The sequence below is a fragment of the Homo sapiens genome, chromosome 4, assembly GCF_000001405.40.
Source record: "Homo sapiens chromosome 4, GRCh38.p14 Primary Assembly".
Taxonomy (NCBI): domain Eukaryota; kingdom Metazoa; phylum Chordata; class Mammalia; order Primates; family Hominidae; genus Homo; species Homo sapiens.
In genome coordinates, this window is record NC_000004.12 from 49201147 (window position 1) to 49222932 (window position 21786).

General features: G+C 47.3%; 1 long non-coding RNA gene and 1 pseudogene across 2 annotated transcripts in view; one reads left to right on the plus strand and one right to left on the minus strand.

Annotated features, from left to right (window-relative positions):
* LOC101927209 (uncharacterized) overlaps window positions 1–7089 on the plus strand; it is a 46966-nt gene extending 39877 nt beyond the window's left edge. The window contains exon 3 of one of the 2 annotated variants that reach the window (XR_007058113.1): window positions 6494–7089. This is a non-coding gene — a long non-coding RNA (uncharacterized LOC101927209). The remainder of the gene's footprint in view (window positions 1–6493) is intronic. The other variant, XR_007058112.1, reaches the window with a different exon arrangement.
* LOC100419003 (sorting nexin 18 pseudogene) lies at window positions 1602–2556 on the minus strand (annotated as a pseudogene).
* Window positions 7090–21786: the final 14697 nt, after the last annotated feature.

The window sequence follows — 21786 nt, forward strand, 5'->3', positions numbered from 1 at the left end:
CCAGCCCATGCTGACCAGGCCAGCACTAAGTCCCAGCTGACCAGGTCTCCACTGATCAAGCCCCACAGCCCAGGTTTGCACTGACCAGACACCAAACAACTGGCAGCCAATAGGTCCCCACTCACCAAAACCCCCACTACTAGACCCCACTAATGAGACCCTCTGTAAGCAGACCCCTGCTGACCACGATCCCACTAAATAGTCCTCACTGACCTAGGTCCACTGACCAGGCCCACACTGATCAGGCCCCTCCTAACCACACTGGAAATCCAAGCGGCAATGACATGTTTCATATGGCAGAAGTTGGAACAAGACAGAGAGAGGAAAGAGGTTCCACAGCCTTTTAAACTACTAGATCTCATGAGAACTCACTCACTATCAGGAGGATGGCATTAAGGGCTTGGTGCTTTGCCATTTGTGAAGGATCCACTCCCACTCCTTTATGATTAAAGCTTTTTCCACCTAGGCCCCAACTCTAACATTAGGGAGTGTACTTTCACATGAGTTTTGGAAGGGGCATAGAGAAAAACCGTATTATTCTGTCCCTGACCCCACAAATCTCATGTCCTTCTCACATTGCAAAATACAGTCATGCCTTGCCAGCAGTCTCCCAAAGTCTTAACTCATTTCAGCATTAACTCAAAGTTACAAAGTCCAAAGTCTCATCTGGGTCAAGGCTACATTCTCTTTTGCCTACGAGTCTCTGAAATAAAAAGCAAGTTCACTGCGTCTAAGGTACAATGATGGTACAGGCATTGTGTAAGCTTTCCATATCCAAAAGGGAGACATTTTCCAGAAAGCTTCTTATTTTTATCTGAGGCCCCCTCAGCCTGGCCTTCACTGTCCATGTTTTTGTCAGAATTCTTGTCACAGCCATTTAACCAGTCTCTAAGATAGTCCAAAAATGTTCTCATCTGTCTGTCTTCTTTGGAGCCCTCCAAACTCTTCCAACCTCTACCCATTACCCAGTTCCGAAGTTGCTTCCACATTTTCAGGTATCTTTATAGCAATGCTCCAGTCCTCATTTGCCATTTTTGGTAAGATTTATTTTGAAAAAGAGGTTTAATTGGCTCATGGTTCTGCAGAGTGGACAGGAAGCTTAGTGCTTCTGCTTCTGGGGGGCCTCAGAAATCTTTCAATCATTGTGCAAGGTAATGAAAGAGTGAATTGTCTCACATGGCAAGAGGAAATCACGGAGAGTAGGGAGTGATATAGAGTTTTCAGTGGCCAGATCTCACGAGAAGTCACTCATGATTGTGAGGACAGTACCAAGGGGATAGTGCTGAACCACTCATGAGAAATTTGCCTTCATGATTCAATCACCTTATACCAGGATCCACCTCCAACATTAGGAAGCATAACTCAACATGAGATTTGGTGGGGACACATATTCGAATTGCCTCATCAGTCTTTGTGTATAAAGACATCCATAGCAGGCTTTATCCAGCCAGCTTCTTTGGGATTCTTTATATGGTTTCAGGTCTATAGCATATCCACTAAAATATTCCTACTTCAAAAGGCAATAAAGTAAGCGGTATTATCATTCTTCAAAAAGTTATAATGGTAGTGTAGGCATTCATAGTATGATTTAGTTCATTTGCTACTGTTTCTGTTCTATCACCATATTAACACTTTCCTACACAATTCTATATTCAGCTGGGTTTCAGTTGAGCACAAAGTCATCCTTGTACTACCACCGATAGCTGGCACTAGCTCTTTGATATTGTTATCATTCTGCTGTAGAAAGTACCCTTGAACTGGAAAAAGACCACAATCGAATAGCTAGTCATCCAACACTATCAAATTTTAGGTGACTTTTTGAAAAAATAGTATCTCCTGTTGCAAGAAATGCTCCATCTGTGATTTCAAGTCTCTCGCTTGAGTGGATTGGATGGAAGTGGTGAATTTCAGCCAAAGTGGCCAAAGAAATCCTGTTCCTGTGATAATGATGCCATCAGCCTCTGTACCTGTGTCTTCCCTTCTGCCACATGTTGCCTGTTCTCCATGACTGTGGTAAGAGCTTCCTTGTGTATGAGGATGATGTCCAGGATGTTGGTCTGGTGTCCCTGAGACAGCACTAACAGGTCCGTGGCTGGGTCCAGGTCCTTCCTGGACGGATTGGCAAGGAGCTCACTGATGTTCTTGAAGGCATCTCTGGTGAAGTGGATGGCCTAGTCAAGTTCCAAGGCCTGGCTGAGGCTGAAGAAAAACTGGCCGCCTTCTGAAGCTCTTTCTAAAAGCCTGTCACTGTCATCTGCTTGCATGTCAACTCATTGCCTGTGAGGTTGAGCTGAGTGGCCTGTGCCCATCTTCTTGGGGAAGTATTTGAAGCCATCAGTCTTGCTCTCCCACCCCTAAAGGTTGATGGTCACCACGTGGGGGTGTGCTGAGGGTCAGAAAGAAGCCAGCACTCACCATCTCATCCTTCTCAGCCTTCCTCTTGCACTCTCTCCAGGCTGTCTCTTCAGTGGTGTTGGGATATATCAGAAAGTGATGGAAGATGTGGCACTGTGCCCACACCCAGAAGCTGGCCATGTGGTTGGCTCATCCACCAGAATGGATGCTCTGGTTGTTCTTTGAGCCAGCTTGGCCTTGCCTGGCATGCACAGGCCCCAGGTACAGACACGTTGCTCCGAGTGAACTTGTCCTGCCTTGGGCCAAATTCTGTCAGGCCAGGGCCACAAAAGGCCGAGTCCCACGGGTGGTAATCCTGGCTGCTTTCTGCACTTCAACATAAAAGCTTCCTGAAGATGGTCTGTGGTCTGCCTCTTTGCAACCAAGAAGCCCGCAGTGCCATATGAGCCTTGAGGCATGGACTGGAGCCCCCAAGGCAGCGCACACCCTGCTCCTGAGCGTGCTGCTCATTTTCTCTGTGTGGCTCCATTTGTGTCACAGTTGTTGCACTGACTAGTGCATGCTGAGGAAGGCCAAGCTGGCTCAAAAAGCAACCGGCCACCTCTGCAAGGGTGTGCCTGGAGCTGGTGGACCAGCCACCAACCTGACTTGCTGCCGGTCGGGGTACATCAGTTCTTCTACCCTACAGGTAGGGCCACAGTGCTATCTGCTTTTCCTCAGGCCTCTGCTCCATCAGCCATCAGGAGGCAGCCCCTCAGGCTGTAGGAATCTGGCCATCCCTGCTTCCTTGAGTGGGTGAGGTTGGTGGTTGCTCCACCTGCTCCAGGCACACCCTTGCAGAGGTGGCTGCTTGCTCTTTGATCCAGCTTGGCCTTGCCTGGCATGCACAGGCCCCAGCTACCTATATGCTGTTCCAGGTCAGCTTGTAGTGTGTTGGGCCAAATTCTACCTCTGGCCAGGGCCACAGAAGGCCGAGTTCCCTGGGTGCTAATCCTGGCTGCTTTCAGCACTTGAACATAAAGTCCTCCTCAACACCGTCTGTGGTCTGCCTCTTGGCGACTAAGAAGCCTACAGTGCCATACGAGCCCTGAGACATGGACTGGAGCCACAAAGGCAGTGCACACCCCATTCCTGAGCCTGCTGATCATTTCCTCTTTATGGCTCCATTTGTTATACACTTGTTGCAGTGAGGCTTGTGCATGCCAGGCAAGGCCAAGCTGGCTCAAAGAGCAAGCAGCCACCTCTGCAAGGTGTGCCAGGAGCAGGTGGACCAGCCGCCAACCTCACTCACTGTCAGACATGGTACATCAGTTCTTCTACCCTAAAGGTGGGGCCGAGAAGTAGACCACAGGCCGTCTTGAGGAGGACTTTATGTTCAAGTGCAGAAAGCAGGCAGGATTACCACCCAGGGGACTCAGCCTTCTGTGGCCCACAGTGCCATATGAACCCCGAGGCATGGACCGGTACCTTCTGCTTTATACAAAAATTAACTTAAGATAGATTAAAGAGTTAAACATGCCACCTGCTTTTCCTCAGGCCTCTGCTCCATCAGCCATCAGGAGGCAGCCACTCAGGCTGTGGAAACCTGGCCATCCTGGCTTCCTTCAGTGGGTGAGGTTGGTGGCTGGTCCACCTGCTCCAGGCACACCCTTGCAGAGGTGGTTGGTTGCTCTTTGAGCCAGCCTGGCCTTGACTGGCATGCACAGGCCCCAGGTACTGACACGTTGCTCTGAGTGAGCTTGCCCTGCCTTGGGCCAAACTCTGTCAGGCCAGGGTCACAAAAGGCCGAGTCCCACGGGTGGTAATCCTGGCTGCTTTCTGCACTTCAACATAAAGGCCTCCTGAAGATGGCCTGTGGTCTGCCTCTTTGCAACCAAGAAGCCCGCAGTGCCATATGAGCCTTGAGGCATGGACTGGAGCCCCCAAGGCAGCGCACACCCTGCTCCTGAGCCTGCTGCTCATTTTCTCTGTATGGCTCCATTTGTGTCACAGTTGTTGCACTGACTTGTGCATGCCGGGCAAAGCCAAGCTGGCTCAAAAAGGAACCAGCCACGTTTGCAAGGGTGTGCCTGGAGTGATTGGACTAGCCATCAACGTCACCCACTCAAGGAAGCAGGGAATGCGTGTTTGTACCATGCATTTCACTACAGGTACATTTTCCCTGAGGTTGGTGGCCTAGGTTTCTTCTAGATTTTTTATTGTTTTAGGTCTTGCATTTAACTCTTTCATCCATATTACTTAATTTTTGTTTAAGGTGTATGGGTGTGGCCCAGTTTCAGTTTTCTGCATAAGGCTAGCCAGTTTTCCCAAGATCACTTATTAAATAGGGTATCCTTTACCCATTGCTTGTTTTTGTCAGGTTTGTCAAAGATCAGATGGTTTTAGATGTGTGGTGTCATTTCTGAGGCCTCTGTTCTGTTCCATTGGTCTATAGATCTGATTTGGTACCAGCCCCATGCTGTTTTGGTTACTGAAGCCTTGTAGAATAATTTGAAGTCATGTACTGTGATGCCTCTAGCTTTGTTGTTTTTGCTTAGGATTGTCTTGGCTATGTGGGCTCTTTTTTGGTTCCATATGAAATTTAAAGTAGTTTTTCTAATTCTATGAAGAAAGTCAATGGTAGCTTAATTAGGATAGCAATGAATCTATAAATTACTTTGGGTGGTATAGCACTCAGGCACAGAAATGTCCTTGTGTTAGGCAATACCATTCAGGACAGAGCCATGGGCAGAGACTTCATCACCAGAACACAAAAAGCAATGGCAACAAAAGCCAAAATTGACAAATGGGATCTAACTAAACTAAACAGTATCTGCTGTGCAAAAGAAACTATTATCAGAGTGAACAGGCAACCCACAGAATGGGAGAAAATTGTTGCAATCTATCCATCTGACAAAGGGCTAATATGCAGAATCTACAAAGAACAAACTTACAAGAAAAAAAACAAACAACCCCATCAAAAAGTGGACAAAGGATATGAACAGACACTTACCAAAGAAGACATTTATACAGCCAACGAACATGTGAAGCAAAGCACATCATCACTGGTCATTAGAGAAATAGAAATCAAAACCACAATGAGATACAATCTCACAGCACTTAGAATGGCTATCGTTAAAAAATCAGGGGACAACAGATGCTGGACAGGATGTGGAGAAATAGGAACGCTTTTACACAGTTGGTGTGAATATAAATTAGTTCAACCATTGTGGAAGACAGTGTGACAATTCCTCAAGGATCTACAACCAGAAATATCATTTGACCCAGCAATCCCATTACTGGGTATATACCCCCAAAATTATAAATCATTCTAATATAAAGACACATGCACCTGTCTGTTTATGGCGGCACTTTTCACAAAACCAACGACTTGGAACCAACCCAAATGCCCACCAATGATAGACTAGATAAAGTAAATGTGGCATATATACACCATGGAATACTATGTAGCCATAAAAAAGGATGAATCCACGTCCTTTGCTGGGACATGAATGAAGCTGGAAAGCATCATTCTCAGCAAACTAACACAAGAACAGAAAACCAAACACCACATGTTCTCACTCATAACTTGGAGTTGAACAATGGGAACACATGGACACAGGAAGGGGAACATCACACACCAGGGCCTGTCAGCGTGGGGGGCTAGGAGAGGGATGGCATTAGGAGAAATAACTAATGTAGATCATGGGTTGATGGATGCAGCAAGCCACCATGGCATGTGTATACCTATGTAACAAACCTGCATGTTCTGCACATGTACCCCAGAACTTAAAGTATAATTAAAAAAAAAAGAAATTTGTTTTTAATTAAGCTTTTAATCATAGAACTTGTAAAGAAAACCCTTTTGAATCTTTTACTACCACATCATAGCTGGGACAAACTGCTGACGTTTTAAAAGTAACACAAATATCAAACAGAAAGAACTAGACTTAGGAACCAAACTCAGGTTTCTGTAGTGAACAGGGCAGAATCTTCACATTGGGTCACCACAGCTACTCCTTCAGTTTGGCCTTGGCTAGCAAAAGGGTGACCTTTTTATGTAGATGAGACCACTTACGTAAAAAAAAAGGTTTAAAAAATAATTTCTGCTAACTGGAATGCTTTTTGTTGTTGTTTATTTGTTTGTTTCTTTTTGCAGCCATAGGAGTTTTAGCCAATTCAGAGGCCTTGCTCCCTACAATTTGGAACATTCCTTTGGATTTGACCAAGTCAGGAAGAGATGGGAGAAAAGTGAAACAACAACAATAAAACCCCAAGCATAAACAAACAAAGAGTTAAGCAAAACAACAAATGCACAATTCATATGATTACTGAGTGTTCTAATGGTAAGGAGAAATTAAAAGCAGAAATTAAAAGCAGCTGGTGAGTAATCTTAAATTTTATTCATTAAGGAAAAATTTTAAGACAAAACTCTAATTCAGCTACTTACCTGGAAATAAGGCTCAGGCTGGTGGTCGTTCTCTGCCATCTTAGAAGCTGGAAAAAACTTACACTCACCTTCCCTGTCAGAAGCAAGCTGAAACTCAGGAAAGGAGGTGCCTGCTCTCCATCATCATGGAAGCAGGAAAACTTGCCTTCTTTGTTGGAAATGAGTAAAACTTCAGAAAAGGAGTTGTACAGCAAAATCAACCTTAGTTCTCAACCAGATTTTGGGAGATCAGGGAACCTCTGCAGGGGAGAAGCTCCACAACCTCAGCAAATTATCCGTTGATTTGGGCAATAAAGATAGCCCAGGTTGGTATCAAGCAATAATGAGATTTATCAAAGGTCAGGACCACCTTTTTATGTCTTTCTCTGTCTTTTTTTATCTTTATTGGTATATACGTTTTGTCAAAACTAGGAGTGCAACACCTGCTTTTTTCTGTTTTCCGTTTGCTTGAAAGATTTTTCTCCATTCCTTTATTTTGAGCCTATGTATGGCACCGCATGTGAGATGGGTTTCTTGGAGACGGCATACTCAAATGGGTCTTGGTTCTTTATCCATCTTGCCCCCCTGCGTCTTTCAATCAGAGCATTTAGCCCATTTCCATTTAAGGTTAGTAATGGTATGTGTGGATTGGATCCTGTCGTCATGCTGTCAGCTGGTTATTTTGCAGACTTGTGTATGTGGTCGGTTTTTAGCATCACTGGTCTGTGTACTTCGGTGCATTTTTGTAGTGGCTGGTGATGGTCTTTTCTTTCCATATTTAGTGCTTCATTCAGGAGCACTTGTAAGGTAGATCTGGTGATAATGAATTCTCCCAGCATTTGTTTGTCTGAAAAGGGTCTTGTTTCTCCTTCACTTATGATGCTTAATTTTGCTGGACATGAAATTCTGGGTTGAAATTTCTTTTCTTTTTTTTTAACCATTTAACTCTCTAGCTCTCATTTTAACCATTTTAACTCTCTAGCGGCCTTTAACATTGTTTCTTTCATTTTGACCTTGGAGAATCTGATGATTATATGTCTTGGGGATGATATTCTCGTGGCATATCTTACTGAAGTCCTCTGGATTTCCTGAAATTGAATGTTGGCCTGTCTGGCTAGGTTTCGGACATTCTCATGAAGGATATTCTGAAGTATGTTTTCCAAATTGGTTCCATTCTCCTCATCTCTTTCAGGTACATTAATCAGTCATAGATTTGGTCGTTTATATAATCCCATATTTCTCGGATGTTTTGTTCATTCCTTTTCCTCCATTTTTGTCTGCCTGTTTTGTTTCAGAAAGCCAGTTTTCAAGCTCTGGGATTCTTTCCTCTGTTTGGTCTATTCTGCTGGGTGGTCTTGCACATGAGATGGAGCTGTTCTGACCTCAGCCCTCCTTAGTCTGCTTGCCTCTCCCAGGACCCCAGCCTGGCCACACCTGCTTACAGGGCAATATCGGGTGCCCACACACACTACAATAATTTTCATAATGCAATCACACATAATCACCATGTGACTCCATTATGAAAATTCTTGTAGTGTGCTTTTCAGCTCTATTAGGTCGGTTATGTCTTCTTTATACTTGCTATTTTGTCTGTTAGCTCCTGCAATGTTTTACAATGATTTTTAGCTCACTTGTATTGCATGACAACATACTTCTTTCACTCAGTGAACTTTGTTCCTACGCATATCCTGAACCCTGCTTGTATCATTCCAGACATCTCAGCCTCAGCCCAGTTCTGAACACTTGCTGGAGAGTTGATGCAGTCATTTGGAGGAAAGAAGGCATGCTGACTTTTTGAGTTTTCAGTGTTCTCACACAGATTCTTTCTCATCTTTATGGGCTTATCCACCTTCCATCTTTGAGGTTGCTGACCTTCGGACAGGGTATTTTTGTTTTATTGTATTTGATGATCTTGAGGGTTTCATTGTGGTATAAGGTGGATTCAACCAACTGGCTTTGTTTTTGGAGGATTTTGGGGAGGCCAATGTGCAGCTCCCAATTCCTGGACTGTGTGCTTTAACTCTAGGGAACTTGTCTTAGGCCCCAACTTTGTTCTCTGGCTCCTCGAGGTTTGGAGTCCACTGCACTGAGGGGACCGAAGTGTGGCAACTGTGGCGGAATGCTAGTGGATGCAAAATTCCCTTCCTCCCTGCGGGCGTTCACCCAGTGGTGGAGGCAAGACAGCTGGGGTGTGGGCCAGGGCTCCCCTGCTGTGTGTGTGTTGCACTGGAGGTAGTGTTGGTTCAGGGTGAGCTGCTGGCCAGTGCAGACCATGGTGCCTTCTCTGTGCCCCTCAAAGAAACAGTGGTCGCTCAGGGTATAAGAATGTCCCTTTTTCTCTGCACAGCATTAGGTCAAGGGTGAGGTGCTGGCAGGGATGGGGTTCTTGGTTCTGTGCCCACCAAGGCTCTGTCTTCAATGGCAGTTGGTGTGGGTTGGTGTGTGTGCTGCACTCCCGTGTGCTGTCAGGGCAAGTACAGCAAAACCCACCTGTGTAAACACACACAGCAAAGTGATGTAGGAAGTTTCCATATAAAGGGCTGCAGCATGGAGAGGTAATGTGCAGACTGGTGCGTGGCTGTTGGGGCCACCTTGCTGCAGCTCTCCACTGATCAGCTACGGTCCACTAGCACGGAAGCTATGCTGTGGGCATCCGAGAGTGCCCTGTAAGCAGGTGTGGCCAGGCTGGGGTCCTGGGAGAGGCAAGCAGACTAAGGAGTGCCCCATCTCATGGGCAAGACTGCCCAGCAGAGATCAGGTCTCAGAGGAGAACTCCCTCAAAAGTGAACCCCCAGCACAGCATAGCTGCTTTACACAAACATGGCCAGTCTTCTTTTTTAAGCAAGTCCCCTTTTTTAAGAGGGGAACTCTCTGACCTGATCTCTGCTGGGCAATCTTGAACATGAGATGGGGCTGATCTGAGCTTAGCATTTCTAAAGTGCTGGGATAAAGTGTCTCACAAGGGCAAGTGGAGCCTAGAGAGATAGCTGTCCCTGCCCTCTGGGCTCCACATCACCTGACTTGCTGCTCCAGCACTCTGCTTGTCTCCTGGGTGCTCCATCCCGGAGAGATGTGAGTTAGCAATCACTTAGCGTAATCAGCCCAGGATGGAGGGTCTGTGTTGTAAGCCCAAGCCAGGGTTCCCTCTCTGGTGATGAGCAGTGTGGGGTGTGTGGTACCCGTGGGAGATGGACTGGCTTGTTCGTTGGGTCAACTGCAGCTTATTGGAGGTGTCGATATGGCACTTAGGGTCTTTGCTCCCTTGATATTCTGAGGGTAGCAAGGGCAGTTCCACTGCAGAGACAGTGGCAGAGGGAATTTCATTTGCTCCTGGAAGCTCTGTCCAGGGAATTGCTGAGTTGCTACTGGCTTGATAGCTCCAATGGTGGACTGGCTGGAGACCCAGGCCAGGAGGACTTGTCCATCAAGTAGACTGTCCGGCCACTTTCCTGTCAGGCTGCTGTGGTATGCTGGGGGTCCCTCCAGTCCCTATTTGCCTTGTATTTTCCAGGGAAGATGATAGCCTGCCCCTTCCTCTGGGAGCTCTGGGCCACTGAGGTACGAACTTGTTGCCTATATGAACACACCTATAAGATATGACTGGAGACAAGTTGAGAAGTCTTATCTAGTCAGGAGGAACAAGAACAGGGACTTGCTTAAAAAAAAGTCTGGCCACGTTTTTCTAGAGCAGCTGTGCTATGCCGGGGGTTCACTTCCACACCTTGTCGCCTCAGACACTCTGAAGCCCTAAGGCTGAAATGGCTGAGTTGCCCCAACAGCAAAGATGACAGTCTGGTCCTCCCCCTGGGAGCTCTGACTCAGGGAGGCCTGAAACCTCTGTCGGCCAGAGAACAGCAGTGAAGGTAGCTGGAGACCCTGGTTGAAAGGCTTCACCCACTGATTAGAAATGTGTTCGGGGACTGACTTAAACAAGAGTCTGGCCACGTTTTTGTAGTGTGGCTGTGCTGTGCTGAGGTTCCTCTTCCACCCCTTGTCACCTTGGGGTTTCCAAATCTCGCAGTCCAGAATGGCTAGTCACCCAAACAGCAAAGGTGGTGGCCTGCCCCTCTCTCTGGGAGCTCTGTCCCGGGAACACTTCAAATTTCCATTGGCCAAGGAATGCTGGTGGCCGTAGCTGGGACCCCAGTTGGGAGGTCCTTTCCAGTGACATGCAACAGAGTCAGGGGCCTGCTTACAGAAGCAGTCTGGCCATGATTTGGTAAAGCAGCCATGCTGTGCTGTGGGATCTCTTCTGCCCCTGGTCGGTTTGTACTCTCCAAAGCCTTCAGGCTGGAATGACCAAGTTGCCTGAACAGGAAAGATGGCGGCCTGCCCCATCTATTCTCTCAGAGTTCGTCTTGTTTGATGGAGCTTAATTTTTAGCCCGTTAATTTTACTGTCTACATTAGACTTGTTCTGAAAGAATCTGTTATCTTTTAGGTTAGATATATGAGAATTCATTGTTTTCTGTAAATAAACCTGTTCATGTCTTGTTCTCTGGAAAGAAATCTCTTGCAACTCTCTGACTTTGGTCACAATCATGTAGAGCAGTAGCCAGTCTACAGTGACATAATTGAATTTCCATTTCCAGTGTTTCGTTTTTGTGTCTTACATTGTACAGTTCAGAACTGTGCATTTTATTTCCAATTGTCAAAATGCTAAGCTGTCCACTGTATTGAAATTCTGTTTTTGTTAATTCTTCATCATTCAGTTTTTTTTAAGATGTGCACTTTTATCCAACTTTTCTCAAGGCAGAGTACAGGTAAGCCCTGGCTGCCTCCAGCCACTCTCAGGGAGACCAAAACCCTTCATACACTCCAAGTTGGGGTACAAAAAAGGGGGGCAATGAAGGCTAATCATTCAAAATAAAACAAAATTTAAAAGTATTAATGCAAAGATTTAAAAAATTTTGCATTATGTAATTTACACAAAAGCAATGCTATCACCTCCCCTGTGTGAGCTCGGGAGAGGACTGGGCCATTCTCCTTAGAGAGAAGTAGGGTGGCTTTTAGGAGGGCAAGGGGCTTCCTGAAACAATGCATCTCACAATATTTGGAATGACTATTGAAAAGAAGAATAAAGTACAGTCAAAGTCCTTGGCGACATTGTAGAACTAGCGGGTGCTGACCCCCGAGCCACAACCACAGTTCTGGGTTTGGGGTTTGGTAAAACCACCCCAGGGACAGAGTTCTGGGGCTGGGTTTGGGAGGAACCAAGGCGCCTCCCAGGGATGGTGTGTCACTCCTGCTTGCCATGAAATGTGCACACAGGCTGTCCCCCTGCCCATCCCATCCTGCTGGACAGGATGGAGGAAGTGAGGGAACAGGCAGGGTGGACAGCTGGGGTGCAGGGCGAGGCAGGTGCATGCTGGGAGGTCAGGACCTGTGAGGGCTGTGGGCTCATCAGGTGGAGTGGGCTCCAGGTTCACCCTCAGTGCACTGGGCAGGTCTCAGGCCAGGCTCCCTGGACCCCGGCTGGGTGATGTGGTCACTCCCTGGGGGACTGCTGTCAGACCCTGGCCACCCCCCCTGGGCAGCACCGTCACATCCCAGGAATGGACTTTCTGAGTCCTGAGACAGGACAGTGCTGCCCAGGCCTGACAGACTGGGAGGACCTGTTAAGTCCTCCATCCCTAGACCAGCCAATCTTAGAATGAGATCCATCTCATTCTAAGGCAACCAAGGCAGAGCTGAGGACCTGTGCCCAGCTGGGAGCCAGTCCTCTCCCTAAATGGGCCTTAGGGAAGCCTCATCCCTATCCCAGTGCACTGCAAGTTTCAGCCCAGGAGACACATAGGGAAGGGAGGATGGGGCCTCTCCACTGGCTGACCCTGGAAAAGCAGGACCTGGGAGAAGAGAGAGCACAGGGCTGGCAGGTGATGCTCCATGCCCATGGAGAGCTCAGGCTCCACCAAGGGGCTGCCTCTCCTGGGCTGGAGGCTGTGCCCTCTGCAGGATCTGAGGAAGTCCAGTCCTGAGATGGGACAGTGCTACCCAGGGTGGGCGGCCAGCGCCTGACAACAGTCCCCCAGTAAGTGACCACATCACCCGGCCGGGGTCCAGAAAGCCTGGGCCAAGACCTGCTCAGTGCACTGAGGGTGCACCTGGAGCCAACCCCACCTGATGCCCCCACAGCCCTCACAGGGTCTGACCTCCCAGCATGCACCTGCCTCTCCCTGAAACCCAGCTGCCCACCCTGCCTGTTCCTTGGCGCAAGAACTCCCAGGTCCATCCAGACACCTGCTTTGTCCACTTTTGACTGGGCCATTGAACACCACTGGGCCACGCCAACTGTCCACAGCCTCCTCGATAACATGCATTTTCCCTGACATTTCCCAGTAGTGCTCAGCAGCCCCCACTGACCAGGTCCCTGCTGAGCAGATTCAGCATATCAGATCCTCCCTGACCACACCCTCACTGATTAGACCCCCTTCACCAGACCTCACTAACTAGATTCCCACTGCCAGGCCCACAATGTCCAGGACTCCACTGACGAGGACCTTACTGACAAGGCCTCACTGGCAAGGCCTCACTGACCAGGTCCTTACTTACAAGGTCTAACTGATAAGGTTCCACCGATCATGACCCCATTACCTGGTCCCACAGATGAAGCCCTACTGACCAGGCCTGCAGGGAATATGTTGCCAGTGACCAGGCCCCTGCTAACCAGGCCTGAGGTGACCAGATGCCCCTGACCAGGACCCTAATAAGTATGCCCCACTGAACAGGCATGCACTGCTCAGATCCCCGCTGACCAGGTCACCCCGTAGACCAGTGCTACAAAAGCCACCACTGATCAAGTCCTCTCTGACCAGGCCCCCACTGATTAGGTTTCCATGGACCAGCCTGCCCTGACCAGGGCCCCACTGACAAGCGCCTCTGCTGACTAGGTCCCATGTGACCAGACCTCCACTGAATAACACCCCTTGACCTGGTCACCAGTAACCCAGCCCAATCTGACAAGGCCATCACTAAGCCCCAGCTGACAAGGTCTCCAGTGACCAAGTCCCACAGCCCAGGTAGGCATTGACCAGACACCAAATATTTGTCTGCCACTAGGAACCCACTCACCAAGACCTGCACTACTAGATCCCTCTAATGAGACCCTCTCTAAGCAGACCCCTGGTGGCCACCTCCCACTAAATAGGCCTCACTGACCAAGTCCCGACTGACTAGGTCCACTGAGCAGGCCCACACTGATCAGGCCCCTCCTAACCATATCAGAAGGCCAAGCGGCAAAGAGATGTTTCATATGGCAGGAGTAGGAGCAAGACAGAGAAAGGAAAGAGGTGTGACATCCTGTTAGGCAATCAAATCACATGAGAACTCACTATCAGGAGATCAGCATCAAGAAGACTAACCAATGGTGAAGGATTCTCCACCCATGCCACCGCCCACTGCTTCCAGGCAGAAGCCTCCTGCAGAGGCAGAACCTCTTAGGAAACTTCCATTATGGCAGTGCAGAAGGAAAATATAGGCTTTGAGCCCCCACACAGGAGGCCACCATCCTCCAGACTCCAGATTTGTAAGCCCACCAACAGCTCATACTCTCAGTATGGAAAAGCTACAGTCACTCAACACAAACCCAGCCCATGAGAGCAGCCATGGGGGCTAAACCCTGCAAAGCCACAGGTGCACTGTCCTAGTAGAGGTTTCCCATGAGCCTCTGCCTCTGCAGCAGGTTACTCCCACCCTCCCAACACCCTACTGACAACCTACTCCTCCCCACACTACCACCCCTTTTCCTTCCACCCAACCCCCTCCCATCCAAGATTAAATCACCTCCCACCTGACCCACCTCCAACATTAAGGATGACACGTGAGTTATATAGGGACACATAGCCAACCCATATTATTCTGACCCTGATACCCCAGAACCTCATGTCCTTCTCACAGAGCAAAACACAACCATGCTTTTTCAAAAGTTTCCAAAAGTCTTAACTCATTCCAAATGTAAAAATTTCCAAGTCTCATCTGAGACAAGGTTACAGTCCCTTCTGCCAATGAGTCCCTGAATTTAAAAGGGATTTCTTTTCCTTCAAGGTACAACAGGCATTGGGTAAGATTTCTCAATCCAAATGGAAGAAATTCCCCAGAAAAAATAACACAAATGCAAGTCCAAAACCCAGCAGGACAGTATTCACTCAATCTCACAGCTCCAAAGTCATCAAGAGAACTCACTGTCATGCGGACAGCATTAAGGAGATAGTGTTTACCCATTTGTGAAGAATCTGCCCCCCTACCCTCATCTTTCACTCCCACCCACAAAATAATCTCTCCCATTCTCCCCACAACCCTACCTCCAACACCCACTCTTCTCCATGATTAAATCACCTCCCACCAGGTCCCACCTTTAACATTCCCCACTACAATTCCACATGAGTATTGGTAGGGACACAGAATCAAATCATATTATTCTGGTTCTTGCTCCCCAAATCTTGTATCCTTGCCACACTGCAAAATACATTGATGACTTCTCTACTGCCCCCCAATGACTTAACTCATTCCAGCATTTACTGAAATGTACAAGGACTTACAGACCCCATGCAAGTCAAAAACCCAGCAGGCCAGTCATTGAATCCTACAGCTCCAAATCATCCTTTCTGAATCTACATCTCACATCTAGAGAACAGATGGCTGTGCAGGGTCTATCCCCCACAGCTGCCCTCATGGGCTGGGCTGATGTTGAGTGCCTGTAGCTTTTCCACATTAAGGGTGCCAGCTGTTGGTGGGTCTATGAATCTGGGGTCTGGAGAATGGTGCCTCCATATTTAGGGACTCCAGCCCTAAATTCTCCTTCTGTACTGCCCTAGTAAAGGTTTCCCATGAGGCTTTGCCTCTTGGAAAAGATCCTGCCTGAACACCCGGGTTTTTCCGTACATACTCTGGAGTCTAGACAAAGGCTCCCAAGCCTCTAGTTTTGTGCTCTGTGCAGCTGCTGGCTTAACACTATGTGGAAGTCACCAAGGCTTGAAGCTTGCACCCCTGAAGCTGTGATGCAAGCTGTACCTGTGCATCTTTAAGCCATGCCTGGAACTAGAGCTGCAGGGATGCAGGCAGCAGTGTCCTGAGGCTGCACATAGAGGGGGGTCACGGAACTGGCCCAGGAAACCATTCTTCTCTCCGAGGCCCCAGGGCCTATGATAGCAAGGGCTGCTGCAAAGGTTTCTGAAATGGCTTCAAGGCCTTTTCCCTATTGTCTTGGCTATTAGCACTGGGCTCCTTTTCATGCAAATTTCTGAAGCCTTCCTCAGTTTTCCCCTGAAAATCAGATTTTCTTTCTGACCATTTGGCCAGGCTGCAAATTTTTGAGTTCTGTTTCTCATATAATATAAGAGTTGGGACTGATTTAATGTAAGACCCATCCAGATGTCATTTCCTCAGTCACACATAAGGGCACAGGCTATTTGATACAGACAGGACATCCCTTCAGCTTTGCTGTCCAGAAGTTCATTCCATCAGATACTCAGTAAGTCATCACCCTCAAATTCAAAGTTTCAGAGATCTCCAGGGCAGGGTCACTGTGCAGCCACGTTCTTTGCTGCAGCAAAACAAAAGTAACCTTGGCTCCTGTTTGCCGTAAGTACCTCCTTTTCATCTGAGAGCTTCTCAATCTGATCCTTACTATTTTCCTATGAGCCTTCTGATCACAAGTATTTAACAATTCTTTACAAAGATCCAAACTTTCCCTCATCTCCCTGTCTTCAAAGTCCTCCAAACTCTCCCAAACTCCATCTGCTACCCCCTTCTGAACATGCTTCTACATTATCAGCTATCTTTGTCACAGGCTGGCCATGTGGTAAAGGAAGACAAGCCCATTTCCTGGGGAAGAAGTCAAGGAGGCTTCAGATACTTGAGTGAAAAGAAGCTGAGTGCTGATTGCCAAGACTTTAGGGAGAAGACCTTGAAGACATTTAATAGATCCACTTTGCAGTCATAATTTTCTCCATGATTATAAAGAAAAGAGGTTTAATTGGTTAATGATTCTGCAGGCTGTAAGGAAGCATAGTGGCTTCTGCATCTGACAGGACTCAGGAAGCCTCCCAATCCTACCAGAATGTCAAAGGGCAAGGAGATGTCTCATATGGCAAGAGTAGGAGCAAGACAGAGAAAGGAAAAATGTTGTCATGCCCTATTATACAAGCAGATCTCATGAGAACTCACTATCACAAGGTCAGCATCAAGAAGATGGTGCTTAAACATTGGTGAAGTATCTGACCCACACCCCCAACTCCCACTGTTTCCAGGCAGAAGCCTCCTTCAGATGCAGAACCTCTTGGAAAACCTCTATTATGGAAGTGCAGAAAGAAAATATGGGCTTGGAGCCCCCACACAGGTGGCCACCAACCTCCAGATCCCAGATTCATAGACCCACCAACAACTCACGCACTTGGTGTGGAAAAGCTACAGACCCTCAATACCAGCCCAGCCCACGAGAACAGCTGAGGGGCTCAAACCTGCAAAGCCACAGGTGCACTTCCCTAGTGGAGGTTTTCCATGAGGCTTTGCCTCTGCAGCAGTCTACTCCCCCTTCCTACTTCCCCCCACCCTCCCACCACCCTACTGCCAACCCGCTCCTCCCCATCCTACCGATCCCTTTTACCTTCTACCACCACCAACCTCCTGTCCATAATTAAGTCACCTGCTTCAACATTAGGGATTACAATTCCACATGAGTTTCATAGGGACACACAGGCAAACCATATAATTCTGACCCTGATATTCCAGAATCTATGTCCTTATCACAGACCAAAATACAATCATGACTTTTCAAAAGTTTGCAAAAGTCTTAACTCATTCCAAATTTTAAAAATTCAAAGTCTCATCTGAGATAAGGCCACAGTCCCTTCTGCCTATGAGTCCCTGAATTTAAAATGGAGTTCTTTTCTTTCAAGTTACAATGATGGTGGAGGCATTGGGTAAGTTTTCTCAGTCCAAAGGGAAGAAATTTCCCAGAAAAATAACACAAATGGGCCCACAGGCCCAATGCAAGTCCAAAACCCAGCAGGACAGTATTCACTCAATCTCACAGCTCCAAAATCATCAAGAGAACTCACTGTCATGTGAACAGCCTTAAGGAGAGTGTGCTTAACCATTTGTGAAGAATCTGCCCCCCCACCCTCATCTTTCACTCCCACCCACAAAATAATCTCCCCCATTCTCTCCACACCCTTACCTCCAACCCCCATGCTTCTCAATGATTAAATCACCTCCCACCAGGCCCCACCTTCAACATTCCCCATTACAATTCCACATGAGTTTGCTAGGGATGCAGAGCCAAATCATATTATTCTGACCCTGGTCCCCATATCTCATGTTGTTCTCACACTGCAAAGTACAATGATGCCTTCTCTACAGTTTCCCAATCTCTTAACTCATTCCAGCATTTACTGAAGTGTCCAAAGCCTAAAGTCTCTTCTGAGACAAGGCTGCCATATGTTCTACCCCTGAGCCTCTGAAATACCAAGCAAGTACTTCCAAAGTACAATGATTTTACATGCATTGGATAAGTATTCCCAGCCAAAAGGAATAAATTTGCCAGAAAGAAGCACAAAATACATTTGGGACTTACAGACCCCATACAAGTCAAAAACCCAACAGGCCAGTCATTGAATCCTACACCTCCAAATCATTTTTTTTGAATCCAGATCCCACATCCAGAGCACAAGGGTATGAGGCCTGGGCTCCCAAGGCCTTGGGCAGGTCTGCACCTGTGACTTTTGCGGGGTCTAACCTCCACAGTTGCCCTCATGGGCTGGGCTGGTGTTGAGTACCTATAGCTTTTCCACAATCAGGGTGCAAGCTGCTAGTGAGTCTATGAATCTGGAGTTGGCAGAATGGTGCCTCCCTGTATGGGGTTCCAACCCTATATGTTCCTTCTCTACTGACCTAGTAAAGGAGGCTCTGCCTCTTGGAAAAGTTTCGACCTGGACACCCAGGTTTTTCCATACATACTCTGGAGTCCAGACTAAGGATCCCCAGCCTCTAGTTTTGTGCTCTGTGCACCTGCTGGCTTAACACTATGTGGAAGCCACCAAGGCTTGCAGCTTGCACCCTCTGAAGCAGTGACCCAAGCTGTACCTGTGCATCTTTCAGCCATGGCTGGAGCTGGAGCTTCAGGAATGCAGTCAGCAGTGTCCTGAGGATGGACATAGCAGCGGGGCCATTGGGCTGGAGAAGGAAACCTTTCTTTTATCCCAGGCCTCAGGGCCTGTGATAGCAAGGGCTGCTGCAAAAGTCTCTGAAATGCCTTCAAGGCCTTTTTAACATTGTATTGGCTATTAGCACTGCACTCCTTTTTATGCGCATTTCTGAAGCCTTTTTGAACTTTCCCACTGATAATCAGCTTTTCTTTTTGACCACTTGGCCAGGCTGCAAATTTTCCAAACTTTTAAGCTCTCCTTCTCATTTAAATATAAGTTTCACCTTGAGGTCATTTCTTTGGTCACATATAGGACCACAGGCTGTTCGACACAGACAGGACACTTCTTAAGCTTTGCTGCCTAAAATTTCATTCCACCAAATACACTCTAAATTATCACCCTGATGTTCAAATTTTCACAGGTCTCCACATTAGGGGCATCATGCAGCAACGTTCTTTGCTAAGGAAAAAACAAAAGTGACCTTGGTTCCTGTTCCCAGCAAGCTCCTCATTTTCATGTGAGACTTTCTAAGCCTGGAGATCACTGTCCATCCTTCTGTCACCTTTTTAATTATAACTATTTAACGAGTCTCTACACTGGACCAAAGTTTTCCTCATCTTCCTGTCTTCTTCCAAGACCTCCAAACTCTCCAACCTCTGGCCATTACACACTTCTCAACCTGCTTCTACATTTTCAGCTACGTTTGTCATAGCCTGGCAATGTGGTAAAAGAAGAAAAGTCCATTTCAGGAAAAAATTAATGCAGGCTTCACATATTTGCCTGAAAAGAAGCTGAGTGCTGATTGCCAAGAGACTAGGAAAAAGGTCTTGAAGGCATTTCATAGTTCCACTTTATAGCATTATTTTTTTGTATAATCAGAAAGAAAAGAGGTTAAACTGGCTGATGGTTCTGCAAGCTTTAAATAAATCATAGAGGCTTCTGCTTCTGGGAAGATTCAGGAAGCCTCCCAATCATACCAGAAGACCAAGCAGCAATGGGATGTTTTATATGGCAGAAGTAGAAAAAAAAACACAGAGAGGAAAAAGGTGCCACACGTTGTATAACCCTGTTATACAACCAGATTTCCTGAGAACTCACTATCACAAGGTCAGTATCAAGATGTTGCTTAACCATTGGTGAAAGATCTGCCCCCTACCACCCACACCCCTCACTGTTTCCAGGCAGAAGACTGAGGCAGAGGCAGAGCCACTAGGAAAACCTCTACTAGGGCAGAGCAGAAAAAATAGATGGGCTTGGAGGCCCCACGCATGAGGTTACCATCCTCAGACCCCAGATTCATAGACCCACCAACAGCTTGCACTCTCAGTATGGAAAAGCTACAGGCACTCAACACCAGCCCAGCCTATGAGGGCAGCCACGGCGGCTACACCCTGCAAACCACAGGTGCACAGCCCTGGTAGAGGTTTTCCATGAGGATATGCCTCTGCAGCAGGCTACTCCCCCTTCCTACTGCCCACCACGCTCTCACCACCCTACTGCCAGCCTACTCCTCCCCACCCTACCCATTTATTTTCCCTTTCACCCCTACCAACCTCCTGTTTGTGATTAAATCACTTCCCACCAGGTCCCACCTACAACAGTCAGGAATGCTGTTCCCCATGAGTTTTTGTAGAGAAACACAGCCGAACCATATTATCCTGACCCTGACACCCCCACATCTCATGTCTTTCTCACACAGAAAAATACAAACATGCCTTTTCAAAAGTTTCAAAAAGTCTTAACTCATTCCAGCAGTAACTCAAATGTAGTAAGTTCAAGTCTCATCCAGAACAAGACCAATCCCTTCTGCCTATAAGTCCCTGAATGTAAAATACAATTCTTTTCTTTCAAGTTAAAACGATGGCACAGGCACTGGGTAAACTTTCTCAAACCAAAGGGAAGATTTTCCCAGAAAAATAACACAATTGGGACACAGGCCCAATCCGACTCCAAAACCCAGCAGGACAGCATTCATTTATCATGAGAACTCACTATCACACAGACTGCATTAAGGAGATAGTATTTAACCATTTGTGAAGGATCTGCCACCCGTCCCCATGTTTCACCTTCACTCACACCATGAACCTCCGTTCCCCTACATCCCCCTTCCAACCCCCATTCTCTACCATGATTAAATCATCTTCTACCAAGCCCCACGTTTAACATTCCCCATTACAATTCAACATGAGTTTTGGTAGGGACACAGAGCCAAATCATATTATTCCCCCTTTGGCTCCCCAATCTCACATCCTTCTCATACTGCAAAATACAATGATGCATCCTCTACAGTCCCCCAGTGTCTGAACTCATTCCAGCATTTACTCAAATGTCCATTTGTGAAGGATGCACCCCCCGCCCCTGCCTTTCACCCCCAACCCCACCACAATCACCCCAACCCTCCCCACCCCCTAATCACCCCCACCCTCCCCAACCCCCCAACCATCCCACCTCCACTCTCCATCATGATTAAATCACCTTCCACCAGCCCCCACCTTTAACATTTCCCATTAAAATTCCATATGAGTTTTGGTAGAGACACAGAGCCAAAACATATTATTCTGTCCCTGGTCCCCCAAAGTTCATGTCTTTCTCACATTGCAAAACGCAATGATGACTTCCCTAGAGTCCCCCAAATCTTAACTCATCCCAGCGTTTACTCAAATGTCTAAAGCCCAAAGTCTCTTCTGAGACAAGGCTGCCATACCTTCTGCCCTGAGCCTCTGAAATACAAAGCAAGTTAACCACTTCCAAGGTACAATGATTGTACAGGCATTGGGTAAGCATTCCAAGCCAAAAAGAAGAAATTTGCCAGAAAGAAGCACAAAACACAGATGAGACTTAAAAACCACCTGCAAGTCAAAAACACAGCAGGCCAGTCATT